Genomic DNA, 12,357 nt, shown 5'->3' on the forward strand with positions numbered 1-12,357 from the left:
CCCAAGGGTCAGGGGCTCAGGCATGCAGCCAGCCTCCAGGGGCACCGGGGTTCCATCACTTACACCTCAGTCAGGCCCCTTGCCTCTCTGGGCCTCAGTTTTTCTATCTGCGAAGTGGTCTAGGATGGTCCCTGCCCACTGTGCGGTGCTTGGCCACAGTGTGCAGAACGATCCCCACATGCTCGTCATTATGGGAAGGAAGTGGAGAGGCCCCTGGGTGATGACTGCAGGGAGCAGTGTTGAGTGCTGAGTCATGGGAGGGACTCGTTCACTGCGAGTGAGGGGGCAGGCCTTGAGCAAGGATACTGCCAACCGGCCTCTGCTCTCCATGCTGACCCAGCATCCCTCCTGATGGTCCTATGTAGAAAAAGATACATAATGTTTGACATATTTATGGGGTCCCTGTGATGTTTTATTAGATGTACAGAGTATGTAATGATCACGGCAGAGTGTTTGTGGTGTCTGTCACTTTGGTATTCCTCATTTTCCTGTGTTCAGAACAGTTCAGGTCCTCTCTTCTGACTACTTTGAAATACACAAGGCTGGGCACGGTGCCTCAGGCCTATAATCCCAGCACTTTGGGAGGCTGAGGTGGGAGGATGGCCTGAGTTCAGGGGTTCAAGACCAGTTTGAGCAACATAGCATTACCCTGTGTCTATTAAAACCCAAAAAAAATTAGCTGGGCATGGTGGTGCATACCTGTAGTCCCAGCTACTCAGGAGGCTGAGGTGGGAGGGTCACTTGAGCCCAGGAGATGGAGGCTGTGGTGAGCTATGATCACACCACTGCACTCCAGCCTGGGCCACAGAGCAAGACACTGTCTCAAAAAAAAAAAAAAAGAAGAAGAAGAAGAAATAGACAATACGTTGTTGCATTGTTGGCTGGGCACAGTGGCTCATGCCTGTAATCTTAGCACTCTGGGAGGCTGAGGTGGGTGGATCACCTGGGGTCAGGTATTCAAGACCAGCCTGGCCAAACGGTGAAGCCCCTTCTCTACTAAAAATGCAAAAATTAGCCAGGTGTGGTGGCGCACGCTTGTAATCCTAGTTACTTGGGGGGCTGAGGCAGGAGAATCACCGGAACCTGGGAGGTGGAGGTGGAGTTTGCAGGGAGCCGAGATGGTGCCACTGAACTCCAGCCTGGGCGACAGAGTGAGAGACTCCCTCTCAAAAATAAAAACAGGCTGGGCGCAGTGGCTCACGCCATTAATCCCAGCACTTTGGGAGGCCAAGGCAGACAGATCACTTGAGGTCGGGAGTTCGAGACCAGCCTGACCAACATGGAGAAACCCCGTCTCTACTAAAAATACAAAATTAATCTGGCGTGGTGGCGCATACCTGTAATCCCAGCTACTCAGGAGGCTGAGGTGGGAGAATCGCTTGAACCTGGGAAGCAGAGGTTGCGGTGAGCCAAAATTGCGCCATTGCACTCCAGCCTGGGCAACAAGAGTGAAAGTGTGTCTCAAAGAAAAAAAAACACCAGACAATTGTTGTTAACTATAGTCTTAACTGCAGTCACCCTACTCTTCTGTTGAACAATAGAAGTTAATGCCTTTTCTCTAACTGTATGTTTGTACCCATTAACCCCACCTCTCTTTACCCCCTACTTGTCCCCACCTTTCCCAGCCTCTAGTATTTATCCTTCTACTCTCCACCTCTGTGAGATCCGCTCTTCTACCTTTTATTTTTTTAGCTCCCACGTATGAGTGACAACATGCAAGATCTGTCTTTTTGTGCCTGGCTTATTTCACTTAACATAATGACCTCCAGTTCCATTCATGTTGCTGCAAATGACAGGATCTCATTCTTTTCTATGGCCCTGATCAACCCGTTTCTTGCTTAATTCTCTTGACGTAACCATGGCTTAGTGGCCTGGAAGGGAAGCCACTTCTGTGTGATAGCTTGTTGCTACTCTGATGCGGTCCAGGTTGGCTTTCAAGAGTCCCTGGCAAAGAGAGCTGTGTTTTTCTCATTGTCCTGGTTGCTCTGGGAGAAGACTGCAGGCTGTCCTGTGAGCCATGGCTGTGTTATGTGGGCAATGGATTTGCGTCTGTAACAGAGGCCCAAAATGAAGGCTCTTAAAGAGATGAAGTCTGTTTCTTGCTCACGTCTCAGTGAGCTTGGTGACCCTGTGCTGCAAGGCTGTCCAGGGCCTGGCTCCGCGTCTCCTGTTGCCACCTTAACACAGGGCTCCCTTCATAGTTTAAAATGGCTGCCCCATACCCATCACCATGTAGCCTCTAGCAGCCCAAGAAGGGAAAGAAGGGCCTCTGTGTGTGGGAACTGTGAGTCCAGCTAACAGTTCTAGCACTTTCTAAGAAGGAAGTGGATATTGGTTGTTTCTGAGCGTGACAGCTGGGGCTTGACACCCGGAAGTCACCAGGATATTGGTTGGGTGGTGTCAACCCTTCGTGTCTCGTCTCCCCACCTATAAAGTCAGGACTCTGGCCTGTCCCCTCTGGACTGCGGGAACCAGTGGGGGAATTCTGGTACTTGAGCCCAGGACTGTGCCTGGCTCACTGCATGTGTCCCAGGTTTTGTCCTGGTAACTACCAGCATCAAGTCCTCCCAGCTCCTCTCTGTAGGAGGGAACCTACCCACCTACCCCCAGTGCACAGAGGAGGAGCTGGAGGCTGTGTCAGGTGCAGGGCCAGCTGGCCAGTCCCCATGGTCCCTGGGATGGCACAGCCACCAACTCAGTCCAGGCAACCTCAGTGGAGAGGCTGGGGTTGCCTGAGGCCCCTGGAGCCGCCCTGCCTGGCTCTCTTCCCCTTGGGTTTGGGGGAATGCTCTGTAGGAGTGCCCCCCACTGGGGACTTGCTGGCACCCAACCCAGCCCCAGGATAGGCAGGACTGGGCTTGGAAGTCCCAGACTTAGAGAGAAGGCAGGCTGGGGGGCCCCGGCTGGCCCCAGGGAGAAGCAAAGAGAGGCGGGCCTCTTGGCTATGGACCCCTGCTCTGTGCTGGGCTCATTGGCTAAGAGAGCCCACTGAGGCCACACCTGAGGAGAACCCTACTCCCCGTGAGGAAACCCTCACGCTTGCTATTCGGGTGGCTCTGTGGTCACCCCCATCTAAGGCTCTGAGCGGTGACTTGCCCCACATCATGGAGCGGGGGAGGGTCCCCCTGGGGTGGAGGCTTCCCCAGTGCACGTCTGCGGGCCCATGCTCCCTGACCTGAGGGACACCCCAGCCCGACATCCGAACACCTCCGCTGCAGCCCAGGCCTGATGTCCCCTTGACTGAGGACATTGGGGGTGAAAGGATCATCCCGCTCCACATGAGGCCAGACGCTCATCTCTGGAATGTTCCTGAAACCTCAGGAGCCCTGAGGCTTCTGCGGGACTCTGGGGCGCTGTTTCTAAACCCAGGGTGGTGGAGTCTGCTGAGCCACCATACAAGCATTTCTGGGGTCCCTGTGGAAGCTTCCAGAACCTCAGATCCAGCGAACCTCATGGGGTTGGGATGTGGGAGGAGTGTGGAGCCAGGCGTGGTCTGCAGCCTTCTCCCCGCCTCAGGCACCTCTAGGAACTCACGTGTCCAGATCGGATGGCTCCTCAAAATGGCTGGGGTGGGGTAGGGTGCCCTTTCTCTTTTTCTCCCCTCTTTCCGCCTTGCAGTGAGAAACCAGCCTGCGCTGTGGTGTGTGGGCTGTCAGGCCGGCTGAGAGCTGGTGCCCTGCCTTTCAGTTCAGGGCTGTGGGGACCTTCCAGGGTCCCCTGGGTGGGAATGCCAGGCCTGGGGCAGCGAGCCTTGGAGGAGCCTCTGGGCCTGAACCTCAGCCTGGCAGCTCTCTGCCTGGCAGCATTGCAAGTCTAGTTTTCAGATCTCCTCTTCCTTCACGTGAGGGGCCCTTCGTGTTTTTCTCATCTGAGAGTTGAAAGCCAGAGCCCCCGACCCTCCCGTGGAGCCCCACACTGGAGTCTGGAGCAGCAGTGGGAGAAGGGCCGGGCGCCGGCCGTAATGAGAAACAGCCGACCTGTGAAAGGGGCCCTGTGTGAGCCCCAGACACAAAGCAGGCTCCATTCAGGAGGGGGCAGCCATGGAACCTGACCCCCGCCACCACCCAAGTTAGGATCCCAGCAGGGACCCTTGGAGTCACACACGTGGCAGCCACCCCTGAGGAGGAGGCCACCCTCTTAGATGCCTCAGTGAGACACAAGACATCAATATCTCTTTATTTAAAAAATAAACAAGACATTTACAGCCATGGGGTGGGGATGGCAGACTGATAGGGCCAGGGCCTCCAACCCCTCGGCCGGCCTCGGGGCTCCCTCTGCCTTTCCCCAGTGCCTCTTCTCCCACCCAGGCCCTCGAATCTTCTATGCGAGGCTCTGCCACAGTGGGAAACGGGGTGGTGGAAAATGACACTCACCTGCCGGCGAGTTTGGGGGGCCTGTCTCGACGAGCCGCTCACCCAAGCCCAGCCTAACCAATGTGCAGACTACTGTACACATTGAGAGCCTCCTGAACAGGTAGTCTGAACACTGGGTTGGCGGGGCCGGCTATCCATCCTGCAGAACCCCCCAGGCAGACGCTGGGGCCACCAGGCCAGGCCGTGCCTCAGCACCTCTGAGCAGCCAAGGAAACCACCACTCTTCCCGAGACGATCCGCTCTGTCCCTTCTGACGTGGCAAGGCTGGGGCCGGCTCGCATCTGGAGAAAGTTCTGGGTTTTCAGGAAATCCTAAAGAGTGGGGGAGGCGGAGCAGGAGGCAGGGTTTGGGATCGTGGCTTCTGGGCTCAGGAGGAATGTCTGACTCTTTGGGGGTCGGGGGTGGGGAGGAGGGGCGCACACACACGTGTGTGTGTGTGTGTGCGCGCGCGCGCACGCGTGCGTGCCGGCAGCACCAGGAAGGCGGCCACTGATTTCTCGGCGGAATCGCACTGTAAACAGTTCCAGATGTGGCATTAGCTGGAATGGCCTGTGACTCAGTTACTTGGCCCTGCTGGCTGGAAGCTTCCGGCCGCGTGATATGATAGGGTCAGGGCAGCAAAGGCCCTTGGGCAAACGTCCGAGCCGGGGGCAGGGCTTCTGCAGAGCCCCCTCCCCTAGCCCCTTCTAAAGCCCCCAAAACTCTTCCCCGAAAGGTGGGAGGGACCCAGGCCCTGTGTTACCCAGCCTTGCCTGGGATGACGGGTGCAGGCTTTCTTCATCACCTTCCCTCCCTTGGGTCCGCAGCGGCATCCCTCCCTCCATGGCCACCGGGCCCCTCTCCTATGCTCTGCTCCCTCCATGGCCACCGGGCCCCTCTCCTATGCTCTGCTCCCTCCATGGCCACCGGGCCCCTCTTCCTATGCTCTGCCCTACTTCTTTGCCTAGAGCCTGGCAGGCTAATCCTGGAGCCGCTCACAAGAGCAACCAAAGAAAATCCCGGGTGCTCATGGGCACCAGCTCTGCAGTGGGCACCAAGCTCCTCCATCCTCCTTGGATAGATGAGGAAACTGAGATGAAATGGGAGGTGGCGGGGAAGTGGCTTGCCCGAGGGCACACGGCCAGGAAAGGGCAGGGCTGGCATCACCTCAACCATGCTGAGCTCCTAACGCCCTGAGGCTGAGCCCATGTGCCAAGCCCACTGCTTCATCCTGGCTCCCCTTGCAAAGTCCTGACAGTCCCAGCTGGCCCCCACTTGCCAGGGAGCCCCCGCTGCCTTCTCCACAGTCACTGTGGCTGCTCCTGAACTTGGAGGCGGCAGCCAGGTTAGGCTTTGTGCTGGGGCAGCGCAGTGAGGGGACATGAGAGGAGTTTCCAGAGACGGCCCAGGGAGAAGAAGGGCCAGGGGCACTGTGGGGAGGACTGGGCTTTGGGTCACAGAGACCTGGCCTCTGAAGTCCTGCTGTGGCTTGCGCTGCCTGCCGTGTGGCCTTCGGCAGCCAGCTTCCCTCTCTGAGCTAGGAGGGATCCGTGAACTGAGACCAAGCAGTGCATGGCATGGGTCCCCAAGAGCTGCTGCTGTGGCGGGTGGGCACACACATCACTGGGTGAGTGTGGGACTCCAGGGTGCCACCCCCAGCTCCGTGACTCGCCAGCCCCTTGCCCCTGGCCGAGGGGCCCACCTCTGAGCTGCCTCCCTAGCAGTCTGGACAGCCGTGGCTGGCACTTGGTGCTTCCTGAACAGGGCCAACCTTAGAAAGCAAGTGATAGGGCAGGTGCGGTGGTGCACACCTGTAATCCCAGCACTCTGGGAGGCTCGCTTGAACCCAGGAGTTTAAGACCAGCCTGGGCAACATAGCGAGACCCCATCTCTATTAAAATAATGATAATGATAATAATAAAGAAAGGGAGTAAGGCTTCTGCAGCACCTGGCCCAGGACCTATCCAGCCCCAAGATGTCCTAAAGCGGCCAAGGTTGAAATCCCAGCCCTGCTCCTCTCTGCCTCAGTCTTCCCCTCTGTAAAATGGCATCACAGAGGTAACTCACTCCTAGGCTCGTTTCAAAGATGGAGCCCAGATAAAAGTTCCATTCACTTCGTGCAAGGCGAGGGGCAGTTGTGTTGTGCGTGCCGTCAGCCACATGTCAGCAGTGAACTCAACAGGAGTCCCTGCCCTGGAGAAACTTGAGTCAGTCCAGTGGCAGTCAGCCACCTAGGTCAATAAGCACAGGCAGTCAGGCACCTAGGTCAACAAGCGCAGGATACGTGACGTGTTGTGTGAGGGAAAAGGAGGATGGAGGTGGGGAGGGTGCGGGTAGAGTTAGGGCAGGAGGGAGCCATGCAAGTGTCAGGATCAGGCAGTAGCCCGGTCGTCCGAAGGCCCTGGGGTAGGAACCCAGGTGGGATACTCAGGGAGCATCATGGAGGGCAGCGTGGCTGGGACAGAGTGACGGACGGGGAAGGGCCGGCAGATGGGCTCATATACAGCAGCGACCAGCATTGAGAAGCCCCCGGGGCTGGTGGTGGCGCATGCTACACGCTCTGGCCTGGGGCATCCTGAGTTGTCACGTGGACCGCTCAGGGTGACTCTTTTCCCTCCACCCTCAGGAGAAAGAGAAGAAGTACATGCTGCCTCTGGACAACCTCAAGATCCGTGATGTGGAGAAGGGCTTCATGTCCAACAAGCACGTCTTCGCCATCTTCAACACGGAGCAGAGGTGAGGGGCCCAGGGGCCTGGGGATGGCTCGGGGTGAAGACCAATGGCCTCATTCACACTCCACAACCTTCACTGAGCACTGAGCACCTGGCTGTCAGCAGTCCCTGCCCTTGGGACCCAGCTTTTAGAAAGGGGAGTCACGTGAGAAATAGCAAATGCCAGGGATGCTTCCCGTGCTGGGTCAGAGATGACCTCTCTGGGCAGAGATGAGGATGAAGGCAGGCTCCGAGTCAGTGGGAGCCATGGAGAGTTCTGAGCACAGGGTGACCAGGACCTGGCTCAGGTGCTTGCAGGAGCCCTCTGGTGGCTGAGAGGGAAACAGTATGAGAGGGTGAGAGATGGGGGACGAGGGCAAAGGCCGCTGCCTTGTCCAAGTGGGCGATGATGGGGCCAGAACCCATAGGGAAGGAGGGTGCAGATTCTGGGTAGAAGAGTCAGGCGGAGCCCTGGTGGGCATGGATATGAGAGAGAAAGGCACCAATTGTGACCCTGAGTACGTGGGCCTGAGCTCCTGCACTGCCCAGCTGCTGCCATTGGCCGAGGTGGGGAAGGCAGCGGCAGGTAGGCCTGGAGACAGCCAAGAGCTCCATTTAGGCCATGCCAAGGGAGAGGGTGCATCAGGGAGGCACCTGGGTAGATCGAGGAGTGTGATGTCCAGGAACGAGCTCCAGTCTGGGATGTGAACTGGGCAGTCACCATTGCGTGGATGGTATTTCAAGGAACGAAACCAGATGAGCTCCCAGGAGAGTGAAGCTGGAGAATGGGAGGCCCCAGGAAGCTCACAGTACATCTGTCCCATGAGGCGTAGCTGGAGACTTTAGCAGAGACACTGCTCTCAGGAAGAAACCCAGCTGGCAGGAGGGCTCTTCCCATGCTCACACAATCACGCTCATCCAGGAAGCAGGGCCCACCTGAGTCAGGGATTAGCTGTCAGTAAAGGCCCGGTGGTACCCTGAGACCTGTAGGCAGGCACTGACGTCCTCCCTGCTGGCCCCAGAACCTCCTTGCCTACTGCTTGGCTACACCCACCAACTCCAGCTGAGTCTCCTGGTTCCCTCCTGCTTTGCTCTGGCTGGCCTAAAGCTCGAGACCCATTTGTCCACCAGCTGGCCGTGAAAACCTTCATAGCTCTTCTAGGCTTGCCCCTGGCCATATGACACCTGGCAGCTGTCCCAGGTCCCTGAGCCGTGTGCCTCCTGTACAGGGAGGGTGACAATATTATCTGATATATCTTTTAAGAGCAGGTTCAGGAAACCCAGAGTAGTAGCTGCAAAAACAAGATAAGATGGTTGATAGTTTTTTGTGTAAATTAAGTCCAGACTTTAGTATCCCGGGCAAAGTGGAGCAGCTCCACAGGCATCAGGGTCCAGGCCCTGCATGTTCCTCAGGATTCCACCTGATATGCAGAAGCCGAGCTCTGCGGTGGGACAGGCCTGCCATGAAATCCTGACTTTTTTTTTAAACGGAGTTCCGCTGTTGTTGCCCAGGCTAGAGTGCAATGGTGCGATCTCAGCTCACCGCAACCTCTGCCTCCTGGGTTCAAGCGATTCTCCTGCCTCAGCCTCCCAAGTAGCTGGAATTACAGGCATGCACCACCACGCCTGGCTAATTTTTTATTTTTAGTAGAGACGGGGTTTCTCCATATTGGTCAGGCTGGGCTCGAACTCCCAACCTCAGGTGATCCACCCACCTCGGCCTCCCAAAGTGCTGGGATTACAGGTGTGAGCTACTGCACCTGGCCCAAAACCCCGACTTCTACTTCTTTGTCCAAAATGGCTGCCCAGACTCCAGCCATTGTGATGATGTCCCAGGCAGCAGCAGGAAGGAGAGGAGGAGCTACAAGGGCATGCCTCTCCCCACACAACCTCATCCAGAGGTCGTTCGGGGCAGCCACTTGCTGACCACAAACCCAACTCTCACTTAAAGGCTTTGTGGGCAGCTTGGCTGTCTTAACCACACCTGGATGTGGGACAGGAAAATGTGCGTGGCATGTGGCACGGGGCCTGGCCTGTAGACCACCATCTGCAAGCACTGTTTAGCATCCATTCCATTTATCTCCCAGCTTTGAGACCCTGGTTCTTTTTTCTTTTTCTTTTTCTTTTTTTTTTTTTTTTGAGATGGAGTCTTCCTCTGTCACCCACCCAGGCTGGAGTGCAGTGGCATGATCTCAGCTCATTGTAGCCTCCACCTCCCATGCTCAAGTGATCCTCCCGCCTCGGCCTCCCGAGTAGCTGGGACTACAGGCGCACACCACCATGCCCAGCTAATTTTTGTATTTTCTGTAGAGATGGGGGTGTTGCTGTGTTGCTCAGGCTGGTCTCCAACTCCTGAGCTCAAGCAATCCCCCTGTCTCAGCCTCCCAAAGTGCAGGAATTACAGGTATGAGCCACCATGCCTAAACTTTACAAAAATTTTTTTGTTTTGTTTTGATACATAGTCTCACTCTGTCGCCCAGGCTGGAGACAGTGGCACAATCTTGGCTCACTGCAACTTCCACCTCCCAGGTTTAAGCGATTCTCCTGCCTCAGCCTCCCGAGTAGCTGGGATTACAGGCATGCAGTACCACTCCCAGCTAATTTTTTGTATTTTAGTATTGACGGGGTTTCACCATGTTGGCCAGGCTGGTCTCAAACTCCTGACCTCAGTTGATCCTCCTGCCTCAGCTTCCCAAAGTGTTGGGATTACAGGCGTGAGCCACTGTGCCCAGCCAAAACTTTTTTTATAAAAAACACACAGGCCGGGCACGGGGGCTCACGCCTGTAATCCCAGCACTTTGGGAGGCCGAGGCAGGTAGGTCACGAGGTCAGAAGATCGAGATCATCCTGGCGAACACGGTGAAACCCCGTCTCTACTAAAAATGCAAAAAATTAGCTGGGGTGGTGGCAGGTGCCTGTAGTCCCAGCTACTCGGGAGGCTGAGGCAGGAGAATGGTGTGAACCCGGGAGGCGGAGCTTGCAGTGAGCCAAGATCGCGCCACTGCACTCCAGCCTGGGCGACAGAGCAAGACTCTGTCTCAAAAACAAAACAAAACACATTCGGGCACAGTGGCTCACACCTGTAATCTCAGAACTTTGGGAAGCCGAGGTGGGCGGATCAGCTGAGGTCAGGAGTTCGAGACCAGCCTGACCAACATGGAGAAACCCCATCTCTACTAAAAATACTAAAATTAGCCAGGTGTGGTGGCGCATGCCTGTAATCCCAGCTACTCGGGAGGCTGAGGCAGGAGAATCGCTTGAACCCGAAAGGTGGAGGTTGCGGTGAGCCGAGATTGCGCCATTGCACTCCAGCCTGGACAACAAAAGCGAAACTCCGTCTCAAAAAAAAAAAATAAATAATAATAATAATAATAAAGTTCTGGTGGACAGTGCTGCTCTGGGCTTTCCTGAAAATGCCCCAGTGGGAGCTTCCCAGCCACAGTTGGTGTCGAGGGTCACATGCCCACCTCTGGGGGCCCAGGAAAAGAGAAGAGTCAGCTGATCCAACAGAAACAAAGAAACTCAGACACTTGCCGAGCTTGTGCACAGCGCTCTTCTGTGTAGGCGTCACTCACGGTGACCCCTCAGCATGACCAGGTGAAGCCTGGGTTGGGTTTGGGTTCCTGATCAGTCAGAAAGACCCCTAGAGCCCATTCCTCTCGGCAGTCTGCCAGACCCATGGCAGGGTCAAGCTTGTGCCCCTCCTTCCCCACCCCCCCGCAGAAACGTCTACAAGGACCTGCGGCAGATCGAGCTGGCCTGTGACTCCCAGGAAGACGTGGACAGCTGGAAGGCCTCGTTCCTCCGAGCTGGCGTCTACCCCGAGAAGGACCAGGTGAGGAGCCGTCCTGCGCAGCCAGGCCCAGAGCCCCCACCTGGGAGAGGAAGCAGGGCTGGCTTTCCCCAGGACAGGTCATTTTCAGGCCATGTTAGCCAGGAGTCTCTGAAATCATGTAGCAGATGCCCACTTGAGCAAGCAAAGGAGAAATTGGGGGTACTTTGTCATCAGGGCCCAGAAAGTTCCCTCACGGAAGCCAGTGACCGGGGCACACAGGGGATGGGGTCCCACTTGCTTTGTTCTCTTCTCTTTTCCCCTTCCATCCTGAGGTAGAGTGAACATGGCCACCCTTGGCCCCAATATTAAAATGCCTTGCCGGGCACGGTGGGTGGTTCGCCCCTGTAATCCCAGCACTTTGGGAGGCTGAGGTGGGCAGATCATTTGAGCTCAGGGGTTCGAAACCAGCCTGGCCAACATGGTGAAACCCCGTCTCTACTAAAACTACAAAAATTAGCCAGGCATGGTGGTACGTGCCTGTAATCCCAGTTACTCAGGAGGCTTAGGCAGGAGATCGCTTAAACCCGGGAGGTAGAGGTTGCAGTGAGCTGAGATCACGCCATTGCACTCCAGCCTGGGCGACAGAGCAAGACTCCATCTCAAAAATAAAATAAAATGTCCCAAGGTTGGGTGTGGTGGCTTACACCTGCAATCCCAACACTTTGGGAGGCAATGTGGGCAGATCCTTTGGGCCCAGGAGTTCGAAAACAGCCTGGGCAATGTTGCAAAACCCTTCTCTCCAAAAAATACAAACATACCCAGGCATGGTGGCGCACCCCTGTAATCCCATCTACTCCAGGGCGCTGAGGTGGGAGGATCACTTGAGCTCTCCCTGGGAGGTTGAGGCTGCGGTGAACTGTGTTTGTGCCACTGCACTGCAGCCTGGGTGACATAGCAAGACTGTGTCAAAAAAAAACAAAACAAAAAAACAACGTTCCAATGCCCAGGTGAGGGGATCCACCCCAGCATCAGCCAGGGTCACCCCATTGTTTGGGCAGCTCTGGCCCAGGGCAAGCAGGCCTATCTGGTGCCAGTGGGGCTGTCAGGGGCCAGCCTGAGGTCAGTTATTGGTGGGACAATAGGGCAGATGGTTTCCAGAGAACCAGGACTTGGCCCAGGCCACAGTCACCCCTCAGCACCTCCCCTCCCGCTTGCAGGCAGAAAACGAGGATGGGGCCCAGGAGAACACCTTCTCCATGGACCCCCAACTGGAGCGGCAGGTGGAGACCATTCGCAACCTGGTGGACTCATACGTGGCCATCATCAACAAGTCCATCCGCGACCTCATGCCAAAGACCATCATGCACCTCATGATCAACAATGTGAGTGGAGAACTAAAAATGAGAAGGAGGTAGCTGGGTGCGGTGGCTCACGCCTGTAATCCCAGCACTTTGGGAGGCCAAGGCGGGCGGATCACTTGAGGTCAGGAGTTCAAGACCAGCCTGGCCAAAACGGTGAA

General features: G+C 56.3%; 1 protein-coding gene and 1 non-coding gene across 6 annotated transcripts in view; one reads left to right on the top strand and one right to left on the bottom strand.

Annotated features, from left to right (window-relative positions):
* The window catches only part of DNM2 (dynamin 2), a 113,825-nt gene that overhangs the window by 94,923 nt on the left and 6,545 nt on the right, over positions 1–12,357 (top strand). For all 5 annotated transcript variants that reach the window (NM_001005360.3, NM_001190716.2, NM_004945.4 and 2 more), the window contains 3 exons: positions 6,979–7,088; positions 10,787–10,898; positions 12,056–12,220. In NM_001005360.3, coding sequence (NP_001005360.1) covers positions 6,979–7,088; positions 10,787–10,898; positions 12,056–12,220 — 387 coding nt within the window. The remainder of the gene's footprint in view (positions 1–6,978; positions 7,089–10,786; positions 10,899–12,055; positions 12,221–12,357) is intronic.
* On the bottom strand, positions 4,425–4,495 carry MIR199A1 (microRNA 199a-1). The gene has a single exon (NR_029586.1). It is a non-coding gene; the product is annotated as a microRNA 199a-1 (primary transcript).

Source organism: Homo sapiens, chromosome 19, assembly GCF_000001405.40.
Source record: "Homo sapiens chromosome 19, GRCh38.p14 Primary Assembly".
Classification (NCBI taxonomy): domain Eukaryota; kingdom Metazoa; phylum Chordata; class Mammalia; order Primates; family Hominidae; genus Homo; species Homo sapiens.